Raw genomic sequence first — 22596 nt, forward strand, 5'->3', positions numbered from 1 at the left:
GACCTATTCCAGACAGTTGGGTGGGAGGCAACACAAACAGCAGCAGCCAGGGGCAGTGGCAGGTAGATTTTATTGGCCTGGGACACACAGGGGATACCCTCACCCACGATGGGGTGGGGGGTGTGGTGTTGAAGATATAATCTGATGGTCACTTGTGGTAGAATCGCGGGTTCTGGCTGTGTTGGATGAAGGGGAGCCGAGGGCCAGGTTGGCTGGTAGCTGCAAAGCCCGACTGGTGGTGGTGATGAAAAGAGGGCTTTGTCACTGGGCATACTCTCCCTTCCACTTAATACCCTACTGATAACCACCCCCAAAGAGGAAGGAAAAACCAGATGATGTGGGCCACCTGTCCTACCTAATCCTGCTTTTCCGGATCCCTAGTGTAGGGATTCTGACAGGTAAATTCTATTACCATTCTTACCTTTCCTGCTGGCTGCATCTGCACAGGGAGCTGGGGGGAAGCAAGGAGTCCAGGGGCTGGATGCAGAGCCTGGGGGTGCATGGGGCGCAGAGAGGACTGCAGAGAACAGAGTCAGGGCCTGAGGCATACTGAAGCTCCCCTTAACATATCCCTAACCCTGACCTCCCAAGGTGCCATACTCACTGAGTCGGAGAAGCCAGTCTGCTGGTTAGCATGTTCCATCTGCTTTTGCAAGGACAGGGCACCACCAGGCTGGAGGAAACCTAGGTGGGGAAGAGGGGCATGTGAGATGAGAATGAAACAGGGAGGGGAGGACCTGAGAGCTAGAGCTCCTGCATGGGATGTTATCACCTGTCTGAGTGGGCTGAAAGTGGCCATGCACAGCATAGGGCTGTGGCTGTGGCTGAGATAGGTACTGCACTGCAGGGAATGCCGAAGGAGCTGAGAAAGGAAAAGACAGAGCCATTAAAATCTTTTACTGAATGGCATTCCTCCTTTGACCTTGAGGAAGGCCAAGCCCCATCCCTCCTATTACTCACCTCTGAGCTGCTGACTAGGACTATAAGCTGGCTGTGTGGGCCCATAGTGAGGTGGGGGCTGAGCAGTCCCATAGGCACCACCAGGACTGCCTTGGAATTGTCCATGCTCTGGTGTCCCTGCAAAAGCAGCTGCTGAGCCCACGTAGTGCCGGGTCTAAGGAAGGAGAATGAGAACTCGCCTACAAACTCCTTGAAAGCTGAAACCCAGTGACTTGTGTGTATCTGTATGCCCCGTTTCCCCCTAAACTTAAGTGCTTGATATGTTTGTGACTTGAATACTGGTGGCAAGGATGCATGGATGGAAGTACTAGGGGCTAGGCATCCAATCCTACTCTCACCGTAAGCACTTGGGGTCCAAACATTTGTTTGGCTCTGTCAGCTGCCATGAGGGTGCCTGGGCGATTGTGTCCTCCAGGGCTCCCTAGAAAGGGAGAAGGGCTTCATGATGCTGAAATGGGAGGCTGTGACCTCCAAGAAGGCCGGTTCCATCTGGTGGTTTCTTTAGTCCTCACCCTGCATGCTGAGGAGATGAGTTCCTGTGTGAACAGTCAGGCTCTGCTGGTATGCAGCTGATGTTAGGGTGGTCAGGTCACTGGAGTGAAAGGAAGACAGGTCAAAGTCAAGGACAGATGCCTTCTCTTTTGCCATTAAACACTGGTTCTTTTACTACCTGATCCCAGTTCCACTTGGCCCCCATTTCAGTTTTTAGCACTCTGATCCCACCTCTGTTCCTTTCGCCTCCGTTTTTCTTCCTCATGTAAAACTTTCTTGAGCTGCAGGAAAAGCTGGTGCTTCTCTTCCTGTAGAGCCAAAAGCTTCTCCTCCAACTTCAGAATCTGGGATGGGGTGGGAAAAGAAGATGAAGGCAGGGAGAGTCAAACGAAGAAATCAAAGCTGGGAAAGTTCAAGGGACTGCTTACTTGTTCCTTGGTCTCCTCTAATGACATTCTCTCTTCCATCTCCTTTTTCTTCCTTCTCTCCTGTTCTTCCTTCATCTTCTGTTCCATCATCTTATCCACCTCTTCTTCCTCTGGAGAATCAGGCAGAATGAAGAAGAGGCAGGGTAGTGAAAACAATTCCAACGTTACAGATTGAAGACCAGCAAAACCCAGTCATCCCAACACGCCTGTATGCTCTTTGCCTCGAGGGGACAAGCTCCCCATCGCGGCAATAGGGAACGGAAAGGCTTTATCAGGTGCTCTCCAAGGTCCTTCCCATCTCAAGGGTTCTGGAGCGTGGAACAGGACGCTTAAATCCCACCACAACGGGGCTATTCCTTCCCTCCTCTGCGCTCGGCAGCGGGCGCGCTGGTTGGCCGGTGGGTTGAGGCCAGCCTTGAGGTACAGGAGCCATTCTGGGCCGTGCGTCCCCCTGCTATGGCCCCGGCTCACCCTGCCGCTTGCGCTCCCGCTCCATCATAATGTGCCGGTGCAGCGCCCTGGCCATGGCGTTGGAAAGCTTGGGGCGCTCCAGGAGTGCGGGCATGGTGCTGCCGTGGGCGCTCGGGCCGTGGGCGCCCGGCTGTCTCTGACTGCCAGACCTCAGACGGGGCCTGCGGGGAGGCGGGCGCTCAGAGGGGGCCGCGCCCGGCCCAGGCGGAAGCCCGTCCGCCCGGCCCGCTCGCCGCCCCGGTCACGTGTCCCAGGAGCCCGCCACCCGGCCGGGACCGCAGCCCCAGTCCCACCGCGCGCGGGCGGCGCCGGGGTCCCCGGCTCGCTGCTGCCGCTCCCTGCCCAGCCAGCGCGGACGACTGCCCTTCCTACCCGCCTTCTCTGCGCTTTCTCAGCGGCTCCGACGCGCCCTGGCCCCTGCGTCACATCCGGCGGCCCGGCCGAGTCCTTCCGGAGTCACGGCGGCGGCCGACCTCACAGGTGAAAGAAGGCGGAAGCGCGCTGCGACGGGTGCCCGCGGCGTACAAACCCCGTCGCCGGGAACGTGAGCGACGACGGCTGCAGACTGGCCTTGGCATCCTCAGCTCTCTTTAATTTCGCGGGCCCACCTGGTGGCACCCCAGGGGACGCGGGCTCCGGAGAGGGGCGCGCGAGAGAGAGGCCGAGGCGGAGGCTCTGAGACGGTGTTTATTGGCTCCTTAGAAATCAGAGTCAGTAACAACTGTACAGAGGCCCCCATCTTCCGTGCGCCCACCCTTCCCCACTCCCGCCCGGTGGCCCCGGAAAAAGCAGCTTCATGTGGGCACAGGGAGAGACTCCTCTGGGATTCACAGTAACCAGAAACAAAAACGGAAATAAATTAAGTGATGTGGGGTAGGGGAGTAAAAGGGAGTCATGTTCCCCAAATCAGTGCATGAAGAGGGGTACCAGGGCCTGGAGCTGGGCTCCCACGACTCCTCCCATCAGACGGAGTGCTGGGCCTCCGGACATGGAGCTGTGCCACTTGCCACCTACATCTGAGAGCCTGCCTACATGCTCCTGCGCGGCTGCCAAGCTCCAGCACCTGCGCATGCCACGAGTCACGGGAATGAGGTGGAGGCAGTCGCCACTCAGAGTCCATGGGCCCGCGGCCCGACTGTGCTTGTAGTAGTGGTGTCTCACCCCTCATTCCACCCGTACCAGCAGGGCACAGAGGAGTGTGGCCCCCTTCTCCTTAGTGACCCACTCAAGTTCGGCTGGACTGAAGTGAGGGTCAGGAGGTTCTCCAAGGGCAGCGGAAGGGGGTCCCGGGGTGTAGGAGCCAGGGCGCACACACACCTGGAACGCCACCTGAGCCTGGTGCGTCCGCTGGGATTTGGGGTCCCGGAATCTGTCAGACAAGAAAAAATAAGGGAGTGAAGCCTCTCGCCCCATCACCTCCCCCTTGCAAAGTCTGTTCCAACCACACAAGCCTTGCTGTACCTAGGAAATACTCCCACCTTATGGGAACTTCGCTCTAGCTGTTCTACCTGAAATGCTCTTCCTCCCAAAGCCTGCTCAGCTACACCCTTCACTTCCTTCTTCAAGCCTTTGCTCGAATCTCTCCCACCTTCTTAGGATGTCCACACCAACCGCACTGCTGTCTCCGCCCCATTCTTTCTCTGTTTCCATAGTCCTTACTTATTACCTTTAAAAATACTAAATACTGGCGGGGCGCGGTGGCTCACGCCTGTCCCAGCCCTTTGGGAGGCCGAGGTGGGCGGATCACGAGGTCAGGAGATCGAGACCATCCTGGCCAACATGGCGAAACCCCGTCTCTACTAAAAATACAAAAATTATCCGGGCTTGGTGGTGCGTGCCTGTAGTCCCAGCTACTCAGGAGGCTGAGGCAGGAGAATCGCTTGAACCCAGGAGGTGGAGGTTGCAGTGAGATCACGCCACTGCACTCCAGCCTGGGTGACAGAGCAGGACTCCGTCTCAAAAAAAATAAAAATAAAAATAAATAAATAAATAATACTTATTACGTATGAACATTGTAGAGAGAAAAGGCAGAAGTTCCACAAGAGCAAGGTTCCTTTTTTTGCCCACTAGAAGAGTATATAAGTAGTATTTGTTCAATGAATGAAGAAAGGGCTGAGTTGGAGACTGGCAGCTAGCAAGACGAGATGAGAAAAGGGGAGGGCGAATCATGAAGACCCCAGTGGCTGCGCTTGGGCCCTCTCCATCCGAGCCCCTGGAAATCTCTCCCCACCCCTCCCAGTACTCACTGCACTTTGGAGGCCAGGGTCTCCGCCCCAGCATATTGAAGGGAGGGGGAAAGCAGCACAGGAGGGGGCTGCTCCTCCCGAGGAGGTGCACAGTTCTCGCCAGGCTCCTCGAACCCTACCCCAGGTTCTCCCTTCAAAGGACGGCAGCTCAGGATGGAGGCAGTACCTGGGAGGAGAACTGGGTCAGGATAGCCCTTTTTATTCCTCCACAGCCCCCCAGGCTCAGCCCACCTTGCATGGGCCTACTCGCCAGTACCTGCTCCCAGCTCCCCTCGGTCCAGCACTCTCCGTACAGCGGCAACATTGCTCCCGTGATATGCCATGTGCCACTTCTTGGTTAGTGTCCCAGCCTCCAGGCGGGGATTCACTCTAGGAGGTGGACAAGCGGGGCAGATACAACGAAGGCCACTGACTCCCCAGTGGAGGAGCTTCACGAGGCTCTTCCTTAGACAGGAAGTCCCTGGCACTTCCTGGCTTTTCCTTAGACAGGAAGTTCTATTACTTCTTCCATGCACCCTCTTGGGATCCCCGTTTCTCCAGGGGGAAAACAGTAGGGGAAAGGCATGACCTTGCCCATATGTACCTGAGGTTGAACCTGCACCAGCCAAAGGGCAGTGCATATTCCCGGGGAGGCTCCCCTCTGCGCCTGTGGGCCTCGTCTCCTCGCAGCTTCCGGCAAGACTCACAGTAGCACAGGCTTCGCTTTGGCGGAGGCATGAAATAATCTTCTGCGGGACAGTGAGTAGCAGGCTTGGTGCTGTGGCTCCCACCTCAACCACAGTGGCACCCTCCAGCTGCTCTCCAAGGCTCTAGGCCTGGCCCTGGGAATGAAGTCAGTTCTGGCGGACTGTGGGACTCACCGGGAAGCAGCAGGAGTTCTTGGAAGCGAGAGCAAAGGGCATGGTACTCGCAGCTCTTTAGAGGACTAGCGGCAGGTGGTGGACCCCAGCACACACTCTCTTTGATACCTGAGGGAGCAGAGGGGCACAGGTCACAGGAGCTGGGCTAGAAGGGTGAGGGTGGGGGAGTAGGGGCAGGAGCTGGGTCCCTTTGGGCTGGCACACCGTCCACCATGTCTGCTTTCTCCATGTCCCCTTGGGTTCCAGCACTTTTCCCACTGGCAGCCCCTGGCTCAGGGTTCACGATTGTCACCTGCAGGGGAGAGGGTAGTCAGACAGAGCTTGGTCAGACCCCAGGGCCTGCTGATCCCTCCCTGGAACAGAGATTTCCCCTGTCCTGGACAGCGCAGACTCTCAGGCACCCCTCCTCCCTGCCCCCACTGCCACTAACCTGCTCACACTGCCCATAGAGGTCCACAAGCGCATGGCAGGGCTGGGGCACATCTGGCACAGCTACCCCCTGGTCCACCCCATTAACATGAAGATGCAGCCCCCCAGAGCTGTCCAGCCGCAGTCCCAGGATGGTGCCTTCAGGGCACGTGTCCAGATTGGGCCCAAACTTCTCGCAGATCTGGGAGGAGAGACCGGCTGTCTTCCAGAGGTCAGACTCCACCGCGGCAGCTGTCCCGCCCTTTGCTCTGCTTCCTTTTGCCAGTGCCTTGGCTTTGCCTCCATGCTTGCCCACTGCCGAGGTTCTCCTCCCACTGCAGTTACCTAGAGCCCCTCCCCTTCCCCAAAACTGGCACATTCTCAATGGCAGGGACACCGCAGGAAGCAGCAGGCCTAAGACTGACCAGGCAATGCTACTCGCCCTTGCCTGCCCATTACTGTTCCCCTTTTACACCTGTGGTCCTACCTCCAAGGCTAGGGGCCCACTTCTCCCTTCTGGCCAGCCCTTCTCTACTCACAGGCCTGGTCCTGTTCCTTCTCTCTGGCTCCTACTCACCTTGAGACCGTTGTGGAAGACCCCACGGCCCCGCAGCAGCCAGGCTGCCCGTTTGAGGGCACAGGCAGAAGCAGGGAAGTTGAGCCTCTCAGGCGCGCAGGTGATGACTCCCAGGACAAGGGAAGATGTCCACTGTCGGTTTAGGAAATCTATCCGCACCTGGGGAAGAAAGAACTACTCCATAATCACAGCCTCCTGGGAAGAACCAGGCTCCGCACCCCAGCCAGAGAGGGAATACTGCACCTCCCAGAATGTGGCCTGGGATGCTGCCTTTTCTTATGCTTGGAAGGACCAGAAAACGCTAATTTAGTTGTTTCTTTCCCTCTTTTTTTTTTTTTTTTTTTTTTTTTTTTTAAAAAAAAGAACCGCCAGCCGGGCATGGTGACCCACACTGTAATCCCAGCACTTTGGGAGGCTGAGGTGGGTGGATCACCTGAGGTCAGGAGTTTGAGACCAGCCTGACCAACATGGTGAAACTCCGTCTCTACTAAAAATACAAAATTAGCCGGGCGTAGTGTCATATGCCTGTAGTCCCAGCTACTTGGGAGGCTGAGGCAGAAGAATCGCTTGAACCCGGGAGGTGGAGGTTGCGGTGAGCCGAGATCATACCATTGCACTCTAGCCTGGGCGACAAGAGCTAAACTCCGTCTCAAAAAAAACAAAAAAACAAAAAAACAAAAAAAAAACATGCTGTTTGAGCCTTGACCTTGCTGTTGCCTCTGTAAGGATCTCTAAGGATTCTTATTCCTAGGACTTCCTTCACCTAGCTAGTTTTCTTTTCCTTTCTTTTTTTTTATTGAGACGGAGTCTCGCTCTGTTGCCCAGGCTGGAGTGCAGCGGTGCGATCTCGGCTCACTGCAAGCTCCGCCTCCTGGGTTCAAGCCATTCTCCTGCCTCAGCCTCCCGAGTAGCTGGGACTACAGGCGCCCGCCACCACGCCCGGCTAATTTTTTGTATTTTTTAGTAGAGACGGGGTTTCACCGTGTTAGCCAGGATGGTCTTGATCTCCTGATCTCGTGATCTGCCCGCCTCGGCCTTCCAAAGTGTTGCGATTACAGGCATGAGCCACTGAGCCTGGCCTTTTTTTCTTTTTTTTTTTAAGATACAAGGTCTTGCTCTATCTCCCAGGCTAGAGTGCGGTGGCGTGATCTCGGCTTACTGTAACCTCTGCCTCCCAGGTTCAAGTGATCCTCCCACCTCAGCCTCCCGAGTAGCTGGGATTACAGGCTCGTGCCACCATGCCTGGAGAATTTTTGTATTTTTTTTGTAGAGACAGAGTTTCACTATATTGCCTAGGCTGGTCGCGAACTCGTGAGCTCAAGCGATCCGCCTGCCTTGGCCTCCAAAAGTTCTGGGATTACAGGTATGAGCCACCGCACCCGGGCTCAGCTGGCTAACTTTCACATATCTTTCAGTTTGTAGCAAAAAGGCACCTTCTTCTGGAAAGCCCTCTCTGCTCCCACATATAGGATCAGGCATTTCTCTTGGACTCCTCCAGCCTGTCCCTACTGCTTCCCTCACCAATCACCAGGTAGGGACTTCGTGGTAACTGACTGATGACCCTCATTACAGGCTATGAATAAAAGCCTAGGAAGCTCATCCAAGTGGCTTGCTTTCTTTTTCTCCACACAAAAAGGCCTTTTTTCAGGGGGGTTGGCCATGGGTCACTGTGGAGCGAGAGAAGCTGGGGATAGGGAGGGAGAACCCACCTGCACCAGCAGCTGGGGCACCAGAGGTTGGTTGATGACAACGATGCCCTGATTGTAGCTGGCCACCCGTGTGGCCGTACGGTTCCCATTAGACAAAAGGATATTCTTCCCATGGTTCTCCAGGAACTCGAGGGTGGTGGGTATAATACCCACTTCATTCTGGCCCTGGTGTGGAGGAAGGGACTGAGCTGCATGGGTTGCCAATGCCAGGACTGACCCACCCCACTGGAGTTTGCACAGATCCTGAGTGTGAGCCTCCACCCAACGATCAGAGAACCCAGAAAAGGCCTGGCATCCAACGGCCCAGCAACTGCCCATCCATGTGCACAGCAGACCATGCTGCAGCCTCTTACTCCCAGGCCATGCTCCTCGCCCTCGTCATCCTCCTCGCCCTCACTGCCGGTGTCTGAACTGGGGGAAGGAGGCTGGGTGCCTTCTGACTCCTCCAGTCTCGTGGAACTGACAATTGACACACCGCGGACTGGCCCGTAGAGATCCAACACAGCCCACACGTTCTGGGAGGCACACAAGACCCAGAAAATCAGAGATCAGCAGAAGACCTCAACCATCCTCCCAGAACCCAAGGAAGCGTTCAGGTCTACCTTGGCAATGCCAGTGGCTGCAGGCCCCATATCCTCTCCATCCACCAGGATGTGCATCGTGTCATCTGCCCCCCGACGAACACCCACACGGCTCCCCACCTAGGACCGAGGTAGGACAAGGACGGACGATGTTCAGCCCACCTCTCCCTGCCACCTCCACTCCCAACCCCTCCCCTGTCCCTGGAGCCAGCCACTTCACCCCCAGCCTCTCTAGGTTCCGGCCATAGTTCATCCTCTGGAGCTGCCCATCACGCCTCACTTCACAGCTGGATACCATCCAAGTGGTCTTCGTCCGGAGCTCTGGCAGGGAAGGAGGCAGCCCTGGGCCACCACCGCCTGCCCCGGGTCCCATCTCCCCCGGTGCTAGTGTGGTCAGCCCCAGCCGCAGGGAACCTGCCCACTTCTCATCTAGCTCTTCCACTTTCACCTACGAGACAGAGAAAACATAAGCTGGCCCTGTCGTGATGGGCCTCGCAGCCCCTCTGTCACATCACTACGGCCTACCTCAAAGACTTCCTCAGCCCTCAGCTCCTTGGTACTGAAGACAAGGCCATGAGCATAGCCAGCGGCACGCACTGCCCTCGTGCCATCCTCCTCTAGAGTGACGTTCTTGCCGCAAGTACTGTGGAATCGGTGAGCCACGCCAGCCACTGTGAAGAGATGGCACCAGTAGAAGGGGTAGGATTGGGGCAGCGAGCTTCAGGCAGAACACAGAGCAAAGCTTTCAGATGAAACGAAATGGGGATGCCAACGCCCCATCTGCCATCTGCCATTACACCTCAGGGCCTCCTGACACCTCTTTATTGTATTTTGTTGAGGCAGAGTCTCGCTCTGTCACTCAGGCTGGAGTGCAGGGGCACAGTCGTGGCTCACTGCAGCCTCGACTTCCTGGGATCCAGCTATCCTCCCACCTCAGCCTCTCAAGTAGCTGGGACCACAGGTGCATGCCACCACACCTGCCTACATTTTGTATTTTTGGTACAGACGGGGTTTCGCCATGTTTCCCAGGCTGGTCTCAAACTCTTGTGCTCGAGAGATCCACCTGCCTTGAACTCCCAAAGTGCTGGGATTACAGGCGTGAGCTACTGCGCCCGGCCCTGATACCTCTTTTCACCACAGCAAGGCCCATTTCCAAACCTGGCATGCTCAGCTTATGGTGTCCTGGCCCCTTGGTGGCAGGGAAGTGTCCAGGCTCTAAGTACCAGGTGTAACCTCCCCCTCACTGGCTGCTTGCCACCGTGGGCTGTCCCTTCCCTGGAGCCGGCAGCTACCCCAGCCAACCGTCTTTGCAGAACCTCTCTAACCTGGAAACCCTACTCCTCAGGTGCACAGCAGGCAAGCAGAGCCCGTCCAGCCCCCGCCCTGCTGCCGCACCTGGGGAGTGCAGTGGGAAGGACTTCTCGGTGGCAGTGTTGCTGGTCGCCAGGCTGTTGTCCATGGGGCCGGTGGCATTGGTGATGGACACTTGGACACACTGGCCATAGAGATCGACTACCGCATACACCTCTGGGGAGGAGAGGGAAGGTCAGAAGCCTGACAGCCAGGTGGTCTGGGCTGAGGGTGGCAGGCTGAAAGCCACATAGTCACCTTTACCCGGAGGCAGGCCCGAGCAGGCAGCGCCTTGGTCCTGGCCGTTGATGAAGTAGTGCAGGTCGCCCTTGGCAGTTCGCATCATGCCAATGCGTGCACCTGTGCCCAGCGCATCCAGGTCACACCCATAATTGTTGCGCATCGTGTTACCGTCTTGCATGATGGCTGTACCACTGGGGGGATGGCAGAAGGGGTGAGTCAGCCTGCCAACTTCAACTTCACATTGGCCCCTGCCCACTCCCTGTCTGTCAGAACCCTCCAATGTCTTGGGCTGGTGTCTTGATCTGGGTGTAAGGCCCAATCCTATCTCCTCTGTCCCTGGGATCCCCTTAGGAAAAAGCAAGAACTGCCTAAGATGAAGGAGGACTGAGCCCCTGTGGGCCTGGGCAGGACTTCCCAGAATTCAAGGGGAGGGGACAGGTAGATCCCCTAGGTCTGTCACTACCCACAGCCACCATAGGCCCAAACCTTGCTTCCCTGATCCCAGCCAGCTCCACTCAGCCCCAAGCTGGTCCCCAAAGCAGGAAGCCCAACCTCAGCATCCATGTGTCATAGTCAATGTCTGTCATGGTGTTGGGGAATTCCAGGTCTTCAGGCCGAATAGCAGTCACTCCTGGGAGGAGGCAGGGGTAAGTCAAGGCCGATCCCCAAGGCACAGACATCCAACAGCCCCCAACACACACAGACGGCCCTCACCAGCCTCAATGGAGCCTGACCAGCGGTCCACCATCTTCTGAATGACAATTTCAAACAGCTCTCCATCCCGCAGGGCCCTGCCAGGAGACTGGCGATCAGAGAGGCTCTACTTGCATGGCTGAGGCTGGGCAGGAGGAAGGTGGGGACATGAAAGTTGAGAGACTGACCGGTTGGAGATGACGATGGCGTCATTAAACTCGCTGCGACAGTTGTGGCGGAGGGCGGTGCGGCCCCCGTTAGTGATGACTGCGTTACTGCCGTGCAGCTGATGGAAGCGCAGGTCAGAGCCCCCGGCCCCTGAGGACGGAGAGCTTGGAGACACCTGGTTGTTCCCCTCAGGGAGTGGTTCAGGAACTGGAGCCACCTCTGTAAAAGTGGACATCACCCATCAGGTCTCTAGGTGTCTCTCAGACCTCCCAAGGCCACCCTAACCCCCAGCCCCAGCCCAGCCCGGCCCTCACCCACGTCGTCCACAATGGTGGCCTGGGCCGCCTGGCCATAGAGATCGACGACAGCATAGACGCCCGGGGGCACGTTCCAGGCAGCAGGGCCCTGAGTCATCCCATTGACAAAGAAGTGGAGAGTCCCGTCCTCCCGCCGTACCACGCCCACCGTGTCCCCTGCCTTGGAAGAAGGGGGTGCTGGAGTGAGGAGTCAGGCAGAGTTCCTGCCGGGGCTGGTCCTGCATCAGCCCCGCGGTGTTTGTGATGCCCGCTGCGGCCGCCAGGCGGCGCACCCACTTTCCCACCTTGAGGCGGTCCAGATTGTGCCCGTATTCATCCAGGATGGTCGTCCCATTGTGCATCACCCCATTCCCAGTCATCATCCAGGTCCCTGGGAGGACAAGGAGCAGGAGGGGACATGAGGGGAAATGCAGGGCTCCTCTCCTTGCCACAGCAGCGCCCACAGGACTCCCGAGCCCACAGTCCACCTTGCCTTTTCTTTGATGACTAGATTTCTTCCCTGAGCAGGACAAGAAAACTCTGCAGCTTCCAAGACAGCCACAGCCCTGCCCACGGGACACTCTCTAGCCACTGAATGAGTGGTCACAAGAGTGACAAGTGAAAAAGGAGCTGCAGAACAAGTGCCAGGGCTTTGGGGATAGCTTCCCCCCAAAACCCTATCCTGTCCCTGCCCTTCCTGGGAGCTCACCAGAGCGCAAGTTGGTCATGGTGGAGGGCAACTGGAGGTAGGCAGGGTTGTGGGTGGTGACACCAATTTCAATGGAGCCAGCCCATTTGTCCACCATCTTGTCGATGCGCACCTGGAACACCTCTCCATCCCGCAGGGCTCTGCTGCTCAGCACCACGCCGTGATTGAAGTCATCGGTGGCACTGAGGGCACAGCAAGTGGAGAGTCAGATCCCCAACACACGCTCTCAATGTGCCAAGGCTTAGCCCAGCAATGCCTGCCAACACTCACTGCCCCAAGCCAAAGAACTAAAGCTCAACCTCCAGGAAGCTGCCCCCGCCAGGCTCCCTCTGCCTTCCACTTCCTTGCCCCGCCCCCCCCCCCCCATTAGAATCCCTTCTTCAGGCTTCTCCCCACCCCATGGGCCATACTGGGGCCTCAGGGCAGTGCGTCCCTCGTGGGTGATGGCTGCCTTCTGCCCACAGTTGGGGTGGAAGAGCAGGCGCTCAGGTTCTGCCTGGGCGGCAGGGGCAGCACGGCGGAGAGCACCCTCGGGGGACAGCGCCCGCAGGATGGCGTTGTTTCGGCGGAGACGGTCACTGTGGTTGTTATTGTGGACGATGGTCACCTTCACTGCCATCCCGTACAAGTCCACCACACCATACACCACTGGGGGCGTCAAGGGGGTTGCCACTCCTGTGGCAGGAAGGTACGGGGGTGTGGGAGTGGACAGGGAGAATGAGGGGAGAAAGTCAAACACAGGGAGGCCAAGCACCAAAGAGAAGCAGGAGGATGAGGTACAGCCCCCAGTCCCAGCCCCACCGAAAGCCCCGGCCCAGAGGCTCTCTCTGGGCGGCCCTTACCCTGATCGATACCATTAATGAAGAAGTGTAGGGCAGAGTTGGACTTCCTTGTGAGGCCAATGTGGTCACCCTCCTAATCAAAGAAGACAAACAGTTTAGAGGAGTCCTGAGGCCTGCTCAGCACCCCACTCCACACAGGAACAACTCCAGAAGGTATTCGTGAGAGTCTCAGACCACCCTGGAGGACAGGTCCTGGGTCCTTGTTTTCCAGACATGACAATTTCCACATTTCGTCAATGCTCCACGTGAGTCAGGCACTGAGTTAAACCACCTCACAGACATTAGCTTCTACAAGTCTCAGCCTATGGAATAAGTACTACTCGTAGGCTCATTTTAGAGATTGCAGGAGGTGGGGGAGCAATCAAAGAGGATAAGCTTCTTGCCCCGGTTCGCTACTACAAATGGGAAAACAGTAAGAGGAATTCAACCATCTGACTCCAAAATCTGAGTGCTGAACTCTTGGGCAACTCAGGCTTCTAGGAAGGAACCTTTAGGTGGAAGATACAGGGACTGCCTCTAGGTCACATAGGAGACCCTGCTTGGTGCCCTGGCAGGGACACAGAGTACCTGTGGCTCTGCTGAAAGCGGCCCAGGGATCTGTGCCCCACCCTCACCTGCAACTCATCCAGACTGAATTCGCAGTACTCCCGGCGGGTGCCCTTGCCATTGGTCAGGATTCCACAGCCGCTCATCATGATGGTGCCTGGGTGATAGTGGACACTTGGGTTCGGGTACGGGGCTTCCTTCCCCTCAGCAACACCAGGCCTGCACCCCCGCCCCTGCCCGGGGCTGGTACCTGACTGGAGGTTGGTCATGGTGGCTGGGTACTCCAAACTGTTGGGGTTGTGGGTGGTGACCCCAATCTCAATGGAGCCTGACCACTTATCAACAAGCTTGTCGATACGGATCTGGCATTGAGGGACAGAAGGGAGAAGCAGGGAATGTAAATGCAGAAAGGGACCTTCAGCCCTTGGTTCTTCCCCAGGGCCCACCCTCCTAGCACCAAGGGTCAATCCCCATCTTTAGCTCCCAGGGATAAGGCGCCAACCAGACCACAGGACTTTGCACACCTCAAACATCTCATTGTCCCGAAGGGGGCGATTGGTCATGACAACCCCATTGTTGAATTCATCCAGGGGCCGCCGGCGCTCAGCCGTCTTATTATTGTTGCTGAGTTTGATGAGGGTCCCGCACTTTTCATGAAAGAGCAGGGCATCGTTGGAAGTGAGAATGGGCGAGGTGGCAGCACCGCTAGATCCCAGGCCTTCCCCTGCCGGTGGGGAGCTCAGGTTCACATTCAGGAGCCCTCCATTGTAGGCAGACAGGATGGTGTTGCTCACCACCTCAGACAGCTCCATGTTGGCAAAGTCTATAGCAGCAGGATGGAAGAAGGAAGCTCGGAAGTTGGGATGAGGCTCTACACCCCCAGACCTGGTGCCTCTCTCCCTACCCCTTCTCCTGAGGGCCCTCCCTTGTCCACCTCACTTCCCACTCCCCTTCCCAGGGCCTCCCCAAAGCCCTCACCATTATGCGACTCAAGGCTGTTAGGAAACGTCTCCGGCCGGGCCTGCGCTGGGGACACCATGAAGGCTGGGGACCAGGTGGGATGGGAGGGGAATAAGGGTTCAGTCCCTGCTTCACGGCCCATAGCCAGGAGAACCCCCCATCCTCTAGCTCCTGCTCTCCCATTCAACAGACTTGGGGATCAGGGTGGCCCTGCCCACACCCAGCCTGTCTTGTCACTCTATTTCCCCCATTCCGTCCCCACCCCACCACCACTGCCCTAGCTGTGTTCTCACCTTCATCTGCAGAGGTCCCCTGTTCAGCCAAGGCAGAGTCTTCAGTGGGGGCCAAGGGCTCGAGGGGAGGTGTGGGGATGGGAGTAGGGGGGCTGAAGCCTGGCTCAGGGGGTAGCACGGTGATCTGGGTGCACTTGCCATAAAGGTCCACGACGGCCCAGACACGAGGGGGCAGGCCTGTGGCAGCCACACCGCAATCCCGCCCATTCACCCAGAGCCGAAGCTCCCCAGCAACTGTGCGCTCCACGCCCACGCGGTCCCCTTCACCAAGCTGGTCCAGGTCCTGACCATACTCCTCCAACACAGAGCGTCCATCTCTCAGCACAGAGCAGCCCGACACTACCCACGAGCCCCCCTTCAGGCCCGTGGCACTGCTTGGAAAGTCCAGCACACTGGGGTCCAGCGCTGTCACCCCAATCTCAATGGAGCCGCTCCAGGAGTTGACCTGGGATAGGGGTATTGGACAGAGGCTTAGAATGGGCCACCCCCCATTCCACAGGCCACCATATCTTCCCACCTCTCAGACAGCTAGCTGGCTTTCTGTCTCTTGGAACACTAATCCAGAGATGCAGACAGTGATTTTCTGGACTCCGTCTTGGTAATTATTTGGGCTTTCCTTTAGCAACTCTGCTCTCTACTCAGTGTTTACTAAACCACTCCTTTCCAAGCCAAGCACAAATTCCTTGGTTCCAACCTCCTGCCTCCTCTAACTTTCCTTGTCTCTATGGCTCTCCAACCATCCAAATTCTCCTACTTCCTATACCCACACCTCTTGCTCTTGTGTATCATTCATTCCTTTCCCCTGGCCTAATTCTCTCCAAAGATCAGGCTCTACCCAGATTCAATCTCCTTCCAAGTTCTTTTTCTGTGAGCCTGGCCTCTTCACTGAATCACACACACCTCCCTCACCCTGGATCTTTCTCCTCACCTATCTTTCTGGCACAGCCTCTGTCCTTCAATGGTTTGTTCTGTTTTTTTGAGACGGAGTCTCACTCACTCTATTGCCCAGGCTGGAGTGCAATGGCATGATCTCAGCTCACTGCAACCTCTGCCTCCCGGGTTCAAGCCATTCTCCTGCCTCAGCCTCCAGAGTAGCTGGGATTACAGGCGCACGCCACCATGCCTGGCCAATTTTTGTATTTTTAGTAAAGACGGGGTTTCACCACGTTCACCAGGCTGGTCTCAAACCCCTGACTCTAGTGATCCGCCCGCCTCGGACTCCCAAAGTGCTGGGATTACGTTTGTTCGTTCCTTGGCATCTTTCTTCACTTGCCATCACATCTCTGACATCTCTCCATCCTCCATGCCCAAGAAATTGTACCAGGAGGTCTGTTCCCAGCCATTCTAGTGGGTTAGCCCTCGTGTCCCTTCCCTGGTTCTGGATCTTGAGAAAACTCAAGCTCTTAATGTCATCTTCAAACTCAATGTTTCTGCTTCATGCTGTCTTCCTGACCGCCCCCTGGTGCTCTATGGTCTTTCTGTTCCCTCTCGGTGCCCGGCAATGTGGGCTACCCTGGCTGTCCTACCCCGTCTCCCTCTAGACGCCTCCCACCACCCTCCACATCTCTGTTCCGCGGTACCAGCGCTGCACCTTGCGGTCGATGCGGACGGTGAAGACGCGTCCATCGCGCAAGGGTTCTCGGCTCAACACCAGCCCGTGGTTAAACTCCTGGCCCGGCTGCTGCCGCCGCGCCGTACGCCCACAGGCCGACAGGCTCACCAAGCGCCCAGTGCGCGGGTGCAGTTCCCCGCCGCTGCCCAGACCCCCGTTGGACCCCGGTCCTGAGCCGCTCCCGCTGGGGCCCCCACCCCCGCCCGGCCCCGGTCCAGGGCCTCCCCCAGAGCCCCCACTCCCACCCGACCCTGCCGCCATCTCCGCTGACACCGGGGCAGCGCGACAGCCGCGCTTGGCGGCACCGTGGCAACCGCGTCGGGCAGACAGTCCGAGGGATACGACCGGGGGGCTGAGGCCAGGTATGCTTTACGGCACTGCCGGGCAATGAAGCAGCCCGCGCTAGGAGCTGGGGACGACCACGATGAGAACAGAAGGACACGGGGTCGGGAGCCTCGCTTTACGGCATAGCGAGGTGACGGAGCGGCTCCGAGGGGGACGAAGACCTGGGCAGGGAGCTTTTGCGACAGTGGGAGAAAGACACGCCCACCGCAGGCATCTTTACGACGGTGGGGTGCTGGAGCCCAAACACTTTCTGCTTTGCGACAGCGGCACCGACGACCCCGCCCTCGCTAGGGGGCGGTGACACCTTGAAGCACTCGCTTTACGGCAAGAGGGGGTGTCTCCCCTCGGGATGCAGGCTCCAAAGCAGCGTGAGCCGAGTCTGGAGGACCCAGAGAAGCGGTAGTGAAAGTCTCTTCCCGCCACCCGACTGAGGACGAAGTGTCTTGCAACAGTGCGGCAGTCCTTCCACTTTGCCTCACACCTCTTCTGATTGGCTGAGCTAGCCGACTGGCGGGGGTGGGGGAAGCTCGCTGATAGTTCAAGTCAAGCCCAGCTTCAACTCCAACTCAACCAAACTATTCCATGTTAAGACCACAAAGAGTCTAAAGAAGTCCCGACAGGCCGTTTCAAGCGACAGCGTTGATGACCCCAAAAGATCTCCCTTAGAGCTATTAACAAGCCCCCTGCCCAACTCCCCGAAGCTCAAGCTCAGGCTGGAGGACCGTGAGGTCACAGTCGAAGCTCCTGGCCTGGCCCCCTGACTGGGATTGGCTGGTTTGGATGAGGGTGGTGATGGAGAAGGGCGGGAACAAATTGCCCAGACAAAGAAAATCTTTGGGTGGGACACAAAGGAAAGGGGCGAGCGGAGGGACCCCCAGCCCGAGTCTCTATATAGTCTTGATTCCGCCCGCCGCAGCTCTGGAGCAGGGGAGAAGTGGACCCGGGACTGAGCCCGAGCATCCCCGGCCGGCAGCGGTGGGGGCGGGGCCAGGGGCGGGGCTACGTGGAGCCGGGAGGCGGGTCAGGATCGCTGAGAGCAGCCCCCCAGTGGGGCCATGGAGAAGGTGGAGTCCCTAGGGGCTGCTGGCGGCCTCAACCGGGATTCCCCTGGAGGGGCAGCCAGAGGAGTGCCCGCAGCGGTCACAGGAGTCGAGGCAGGCGCTGGGCAGCCCTCCAGAGTAGTCTTGTTTCACGGTTCTGGGCCCCACGTGCACTCAGGGGGCTCCGTAACTCATAGTACTGGTTCAAGCTGTCCCTCCGGGGGGATAGTGGTCCTTGGTTCCGGGCCCAGTCAGCACCCAAGGGAGGCTGCGAACCACAGCCTTGGGTCTGGCAGGAACCCTGGTGGATTCAACATCCCCGGGCCTCGAACCAGTGTATCCAGGGCTTCCAGCCCCGGGCCTGGGGGACCTGCAGGGCAAGAGGTAAACAGCCCCGGGTGCAGTCCGCACTCTGGGCCAACTTGCTTGAACCCCCAAAACTCCCAACAGGACCGGCCCCGGAGCATCCTACGAAAGAACAGCTCCAACTTGATGCAGAAATCCCCCAATGTGGAGAAGTAAGGAGCCCAGCTCTGCGGGCAGCCAGCCCAGAGTCGGGAGGGTTCAGGACACCTGAGGGTGGGAGCCAGAAGGAAAGGGGCAGAGCCTTAAGAATGAAGAGTTAGAGTAGGTGAGGGCAATTGAGTGGGAAGTCCGAGGTTCCAGGCTTTCGGGAGAAGAGCAGGTGCCCCATAAACCGTGGCTGCACAGGACTGTGATTATCATTAAGTCTGACCCCATCCCCAGCCTCAACAAGGTATAAGAAACCTGTTTTGAGTCGGAGTGGTGACTCATGCCTGTAATCCTAGCACTTTGGGAGGCCGAGGTGGGCAGATCACCTGAGGTCAGGAGTTCGAGACCAGCCCGGCCAACATGGTGAAACCCTGTCCCTACTAAAAATACAAAAATAAGCCGGGTGTGGTGGCAGGCACCTGTAATCCCAGCTACTTGGGAGGCTAAGGCAGGAGAATGGCTTGAACCGGGGAGGCAGAGGTTGCAATGAGCTGAGATCACACCATTGCACTCCAGTCTGGAAAACAGAGCAAGACTCCATCTCAAAAAACAAACAAACAACAACAAAAACTGTTTTGAATGCCACGCAGGGTAGCTCATGCCTGTAATCCCAGCACTTTGGGAGTGCGAGGCAGGCAGATCACGAGGTCAGGAGTTCAAGACCAGCCTGACCAACATGGTGAAACCCCATCTCTACTAAAAATACAAAAATTAGCCAGGTGTGGTGGCGCACGCCTGTAATCCCAGCTACTCAGGAGGCTGAGGCAGGAGAATCACTTGAACCCGGGAGGCAGAGGTTGCCGTGAGCTGTGATCGTGCCACTGCACTCCAGCTTGGTCAACAGAGCCAAGATTCCATCTCAAAACAAAAACAAAAGCAAAAAACAAAAACAAAAACAAAAAAAACCTGTTTTGAATGACTGGGAAAATGAGGGAGGCCTATGGGGGGGTCATTAGAAGGTCTCCTCCCCCAGCCCCAGAAGGAAGTCTCAGCACTGGGACGAGATGAATATCCTGGCCACCTACCGCCCTGCTGACAAGGACTATGGATTTATGATGGTGGATGAGCCCAACACTCCCTACCACAGGTGCTGAGCCCTCAGCCCCAACCCTTCAGTCCAGAGATTCTTCTCTATTTAAAGGAGGGGACAGGTGGAGGAGGCAGAGCGCCTCAGGGACTGGATACTGCCTGACACCCACCTCCCGGCACTGCTTCCCCCTCCTCTGCAGGCTGCAGGACAGTTTTGAGGACCTCTCTGCCGGCTCCTCCTGCTCAGTGAATCCTGGAGTGCTGGCAGAGAGGTAAGAGTCCTGCCAGAGATCAGCCGGGTTATGGGGCCTCTTCCTTCCCTCAGCCCTGAATTCAGGTCTGCAGCGGGTCTGCTTTCTGACACCTGCAGTGGGAGGTGCTACAATTTCCATCAGGCCTGGATGGGGGCAGGGGTCCGCCAATTTGGCCTCGTTTACCACCTGTCCCCATTGCTATTTTCTTCTCTTGATGCCCCCAACTAGTCTCCTGCCCCTTCAGGATTGCCATGATGGACAGTATCTGCCCCAGGTTCCGCCAGGACTGTGCTGACAGGAGCTCAGGGCCTGCAGACAACTTTTCCAAGATACATGATGTAGGGTCCAGCCCTATGGGGCTTAGCGGGTGTTCCCCACCGTGTGCAGAGACGAGAGATTGTAATAAATTAAGACACAAGACAAAGAGATAAAGAGAAAGCAGCTGGGCCTGGGGGATGACTACCAAGACGCGGAGACCGGTAGTGGCCCTGAACCACTGGTTGCGCTGATATTTATTGCATACAAGACAAGGGGGCAGGGTAAGGAGGGTGAATCTTCTAAGTGATTGACAAGGTGCAGCAAGTCACGTGATCACAGGACAGGGGGCCCTTCCCTTTTAGGTAGCCGAAGTAGAGAGAGAAGGCAGCATACGTCAGCGTTTTCTTCTATGCACTGATAAGAAAGATCAAAGACATTAAGACTTTCACTATTTCTTCTACTGCTCTCTACTACGAATTTCAAAGAGGAACCAGGAGTACGGGAGGAACATGAAAGTGGACAAGGAGCGTGAGCATTGAAGCACAGCACCACAGGGAGGGGTTTAGGCCTCCGGATGACTGCGGGGAGGCCTGGATAATATCCAGCCTTCCACAAGAAGCTGGTGGAGCAGAGTGTTCCCTGACTCCTCCAAGGAAAGGAGACTCCCTTTCGCGATCTGCTAAGTAACGGGTGTCTTCCCAGGCACTAGCGTTACCGCTTGACCAAGGAGCCCTCAAGCGGCCCTTATGCGAGCGTGACAGAAGGTTCACCTCTTGCCTTCTAGGTCACTTCTCACAATGTCCCTTCAGCACCTGACCCTATACCCGCCGGTTATTCCTAGGTTATATTAGTAATGCAACAAACAGTAATATTAAAAGCTAATGATTAATAATGTCTATAATAATGATTGATAATTGTCCATGATCATCTCTATATCTAATTTGTATTATGACTATTCTTATTCTAACTATTTCTTTATTATACTGAAACAGTTTGTGCCTTCAGTCTCTTACCTTGGCACCTAGGTAATCTTTCGCCCACAACATGAGATGAGGGTTGTGGATTGAATGGAAAGGGGGAGGTGGAGCGAGCCTTTGGCAAGAGTGCGGTGGGAAAGCCAAGCTCTCACCATGGTCACAGACTCCACCGACTTTGACAAGCGCCGCAAGGCACACTATGACAAAGGGAAGTTTCTCAAGGCTCAGAAAAACCAGCCCTTGGAGAATGAAGAGGATGAGGATGACAATGGTGGTATTATCAGTATCAGCGGTGGCAGTCAAGGCGTGATGCTGGACCCAGAGCCCAGGCCTGTGCAGAGAGGCTTGGCAGGAGAACTAGCCAGAGGAGCCAAAGATGAGCCAGGCCTGGTCACCTGGAGGCACATCCTTGAAGCCGAGGGTTAGCGATGGCGGGGCTCCAGGGACTAGAGGGGGTTGTATTCCAGAGCCCGTTCCTCACTTCTCTACCACAGTCTGTCTTCCTCAGTGGCTATCAGCCCAAGACTCTGCTGCCTGACAGGGAGGTAATGCTGGGAAGTAACCCCAGGGAAGAAAGAGGGCAGCTGGAGGAAGGACCCCACTCAGGATAGTCCCCGGAGATTATTGGCTGTTGAGGAACAGAAAGTCTGATTGGGGGCTGATTTGTTGGCCAGGCCCAGTGGCTCACTTCTGTAATCCCAGCACTTTGGGAGGATTGCTTGAGGCCAGAAGTTCAAAACCAGCCTGGGCAACGTAGGGAGACCTCATCTCTACAAAAAAAGAAAAAGAAAAAAATTGTTTTTAATTAGCCAGGTGTGGTGGCGTGCACCTGTAGTCCAGGCTACTGGGGAGGCTAAGGTGGGAGGATAGCTTGAGCCCAGGAGTTTGAGGCTGCCGTGAGCGATGATGGCACTAACACATTCCAGCCTGGGTAACATAGCAAGATCTTGTCTCAAAAAATAAATAAAAAAATAAACAAAAGTCCGAGACAACCATGGGGGGAGGTGGAGCGGTCACTGAAGTTTTTCTAAAATGGGAAGGGTAAGAGAAGTCAGTGAGATGAGGATCTGGGGCCTGAGCTTCTCCCCTCTGGTGAGGGCCCACAACAGACACCTGGGAGGCATGGATACACCAGATGGCTAGAAGACTTGGATTCATTTGATTGATTCCTCAGATTCCTCCACCTACAGAAATCAGTCCCCCCAGCTGTGGCCACTATCATATTGGGGCAGGAGATTGCTCTGCAGCACAAGGAATATGATGGCAAAGGACTATACCTGAGGTCCTGCTCCCACCCAGAGCTTGTAGAGGACGTGGAAGATGAGCATCAGGATGGTGAGAACCTGGGCAGGCCAGCCTAGGGGGCAGGAGGGCTGGGAATGCACAGCCTGATGGGTACCCGAGCCCTGATCCCTGATTCTAGGCTCCACAAGCTTGACCTAGGTGATTGAGAACCCCGTAAGCACTGAAGTCCACCTACTGGACCACATGGGAGGCCCCTTTAGGGATCACAAGGCCACGGAGAGCTCCCTGATGGCAACAATGACAACATTGCAGCCTGTTGAGGGCACCAGGCCACCATCTCCCTGGGGCTGTCTCTTGGCAAGCTCCCATCTCCCAGCCCTCCAATTCTTTCAGGCCAGTACATCAGCAACAGGTGGAAGGAGAGGCCCTGAACAGCCTCAAGTCCAAGGTCCACATTGGACAGGCGAGGAACCAGGGAGACTCAGAGGCGG

At 56.7% G+C, this 22596-nt stretch overlaps 2 protein-coding genes across 3 annotated transcripts, besides 13 other annotated features; both read right to left on the reverse strand.

Moving 5' to 3' along the window:
- Positions 1-53: 53 nt before the first annotated feature.
- Positions 54-2753, reverse strand: GPS2 (G protein pathway suppressor 2). Its single transcript, NM_004489.5, has 11 exons — positions 2724-2753; positions 2352-2512; positions 1881-1990; positions 1684-1796; positions 1473-1552; positions 1299-1381; positions 961-1114; positions 773-862; positions 605-684; positions 422-517; positions 54-232 (listed from the first exon to the last, which is right to left on the reverse strand). Exons 2-11 carry the CDS (start codon positions 2443-2445, stop codon positions 149-151), a joined length of 984 nt encoding a protein of 327 aa, NP_004480.1. The 5' UTR covers positions 2446-2512; positions 2724-2753; the 3' UTR covers positions 54-148.
- Positions 1349-1418: an enhancer, noted in NCBI's record as "active region_11611". NCBI's record gives its function as "activates an Ori minimal core promoter by ATAC-STARR-seq in GM12878 lymphoblastoid cells {active_cell/tissue: GM12878}" and the evidence as "EXISTENCE:reporter gene assay evidence [ECO:0000049][PMID:35858748]".
- Positions 2366-2695: a silencer, noted in NCBI's record as "silent region_8107". NCBI's record gives its function as "represses an Ori minimal core promoter by ATAC-STARR-seq in GM12878 lymphoblastoid cells {active_cell/tissue: GM12878}" and the evidence as "EXISTENCE:reporter gene assay evidence [ECO:0000049][PMID:35858748]".
- On the reverse strand, positions 3021-16728 carry NEURL4 (neuralized E3 ubiquitin protein ligase 4). 2 transcript variants are annotated; one of them, NM_001005408.2, is made up of 29 exons: positions 16424-16728; positions 14833-15277; positions 14558-14623; positions 14104-14402; positions 13830-13941; positions 13648-13736; positions 13034-13106; positions 12602-12866; positions 12192-12373; positions 11788-11873; positions 11501-11663; positions 11207-11405; positions 11040-11116; positions 10878-10956; positions 10347-10516; positions 10128-10259; positions 9258-9403; positions 8953-9180; positions 8754-8852; positions 8505-8666; positions 8152-8316; positions 6443-6601; positions 5888-6067; positions 5662-5749; positions 5458-5565; positions 5181-5325; positions 4854-4966; positions 4598-4763; positions 3021-3720 (listed from the first exon to the last, which is right to left on the reverse strand). In NM_001005408.2, the coding sequence occupies exons 1-29, from the start codon at positions 16703-16705 to the stop codon at positions 3516-3518; spliced, it is 4683 nt and encodes a 1560-aa protein (NP_001005408.1). In that variant the 5' UTR covers positions 16706-16728; the 3' UTR covers positions 3021-3515. The 2 variants fall into 2 exon arrangements, with proteins under 2 accessions (NP_001005408.1, NP_115818.2); NM_032442.3 differs by having other exon boundaries at positions 10341-10516.
- Positions 10734-11240: an enhancer, noted in NCBI's record as "H3K4me1 hESC enhancer chr17:7226660-7227166 (GRCh37/hg19 assembly coordinates)". NCBI's record gives its function as "activates a minimal SCP1, AML or CMV promoter by ChIP-STARR-seq in naive H9 embryonic stem cells {active_cell/tissue: H9 hESC(naive)}" and the evidence as "EXISTENCE:reporter gene assay evidence [ECO:0000049][PMID:30033119]".
- Positions 11241-11746: an enhancer, noted in NCBI's record as "H3K4me1 hESC enhancer chr17:7227167-7227672 (GRCh37/hg19 assembly coordinates)". NCBI's record gives its function as "activates a minimal SCP1, AML or CMV promoter by ChIP-STARR-seq in naive H9 embryonic stem cells {active_cell/tissue: H9 hESC(naive)}" and the evidence as "EXISTENCE:reporter gene assay evidence [ECO:0000049][PMID:30033119]".
- Positions 11488-11697: an enhancer, noted in NCBI's record as "active region_11612". NCBI's record gives its function as "activates an Ori minimal core promoter by ATAC-STARR-seq in GM12878 lymphoblastoid cells {active_cell/tissue: GM12878}" and the evidence as "EXISTENCE:reporter gene assay evidence [ECO:0000049][PMID:35858748]".
- Positions 16001-16660: an enhancer, noted in NCBI's record as "H3K27ac hESC enhancer chr17:7231927-7232586 (GRCh37/hg19 assembly coordinates)". NCBI's record gives its function as "activates a minimal SCP1, AML or CMV promoter by ChIP-STARR-seq in primed H9 embryonic stem cells {active_cell/tissue: H9 hESC(primed)}" and the evidence as "EXISTENCE:reporter gene assay evidence [ECO:0000049][PMID:30033119]".
- Positions 16001-16672: a biological region, named in NCBI's record as "H3K27ac hESC enhancer GRCh37_chr17:7231927-7232586".
- Positions 16433-16672: a silencer, noted in NCBI's record as "silent region_8108". NCBI's record gives its function as "represses an Ori minimal core promoter by ATAC-STARR-seq in GM12878 lymphoblastoid cells {active_cell/tissue: GM12878}" and the evidence as "EXISTENCE:reporter gene assay evidence [ECO:0000049][PMID:35858748]".
- Positions 16643-16937: an enhancer, noted in NCBI's record as "tiled region #1992; HepG2 Activating DNase matched - State 1:Tss, and K562 Activating non-DNase unmatched - State 1:Tss". NCBI's record gives its function as "activates a minimal TATA promoter and a strong SV40 promoter by Sharpr-MPRA in HepG2 and K562 cells {active_cell/tissue: HepG2 | K562}" and the evidence as "EXISTENCE:reporter gene assay evidence [ECO:0000049][PMID:27701403]".
- Positions 16643-17052: a biological region, named in NCBI's record as "Sharpr-MPRA regulatory region 1992".
- Positions 16873-17052: an enhancer, noted in NCBI's record as "active region_11613". NCBI's record gives its function as "activates an Ori minimal core promoter by ATAC-STARR-seq in GM12878 lymphoblastoid cells {active_cell/tissue: GM12878}" and the evidence as "EXISTENCE:reporter gene assay evidence [ECO:0000049][PMID:35858748]".
- Positions 17083-17132: an enhancer, noted in NCBI's record as "active region_11614". NCBI's record gives its function as "activates an Ori minimal core promoter by ATAC-STARR-seq in GM12878 lymphoblastoid cells {active_cell/tissue: GM12878}" and the evidence as "EXISTENCE:reporter gene assay evidence [ECO:0000049][PMID:35858748]".
- Positions 18013-18162: an enhancer, noted in NCBI's record as "active region_11615". NCBI's record gives its function as "activates an Ori minimal core promoter by ATAC-STARR-seq in GM12878 lymphoblastoid cells {active_cell/tissue: GM12878}" and the evidence as "EXISTENCE:reporter gene assay evidence [ECO:0000049][PMID:35858748]".

Source organism: Homo sapiens, chromosome 17 (assembly GCF_000001405.40).
Source record: "Homo sapiens chromosome 17, GRCh38.p14 Primary Assembly".
In the NCBI taxonomy this organism is placed as follows: Eukaryota; Metazoa; Chordata; class Mammalia; order Primates; family Hominidae; genus Homo; species Homo sapiens.

Bases quoted from the DNA above. Each gene is read 5' to 3' on its own strand.
- GPS2 (NM_004489.5), bottom strand. From the start codon at position 2,445: ATGCCCGCACTCCTGGAGCGCCCCAAGCTTTCCAACGCCATGGCCAGG. The intron at 1,553-1,683 runs GTGGGATCAGAG...CTTTCACTCCAG, and splicing joins CGGAGGCGAAAGGAACAGAG to TGACCTGACCACCCTAACAT. The intron at 518-604 runs GTGAGTATGGCA...TGTTCTCTGCAG, and splicing joins AGACTGGCTTCTCCGACTCA to TCCTCTCTGCGCCCCATGCA.
- NEURL4 (NM_032442.3), bottom strand. From the start codon at position 16,705: ATGGCGGCAGGGTCGGGTGGGAGTGGGGGCTCTGGGGGAGGCCCTGGA. The intron at 12,374-12,601 runs GTATGGCCCATG...CTGTGCCCTCAG, and splicing joins CGCACTGCCCTGAGGCCCCA to TGCCACCGATGACTTCAATC. The intron at 5,566-5,661 runs GTGTGCCAGCCC...CTGCTCCCTCAG, and splicing joins GAAAGCAGACATGGTGGACG to GTATCAAAGAGAGTGTGTGC.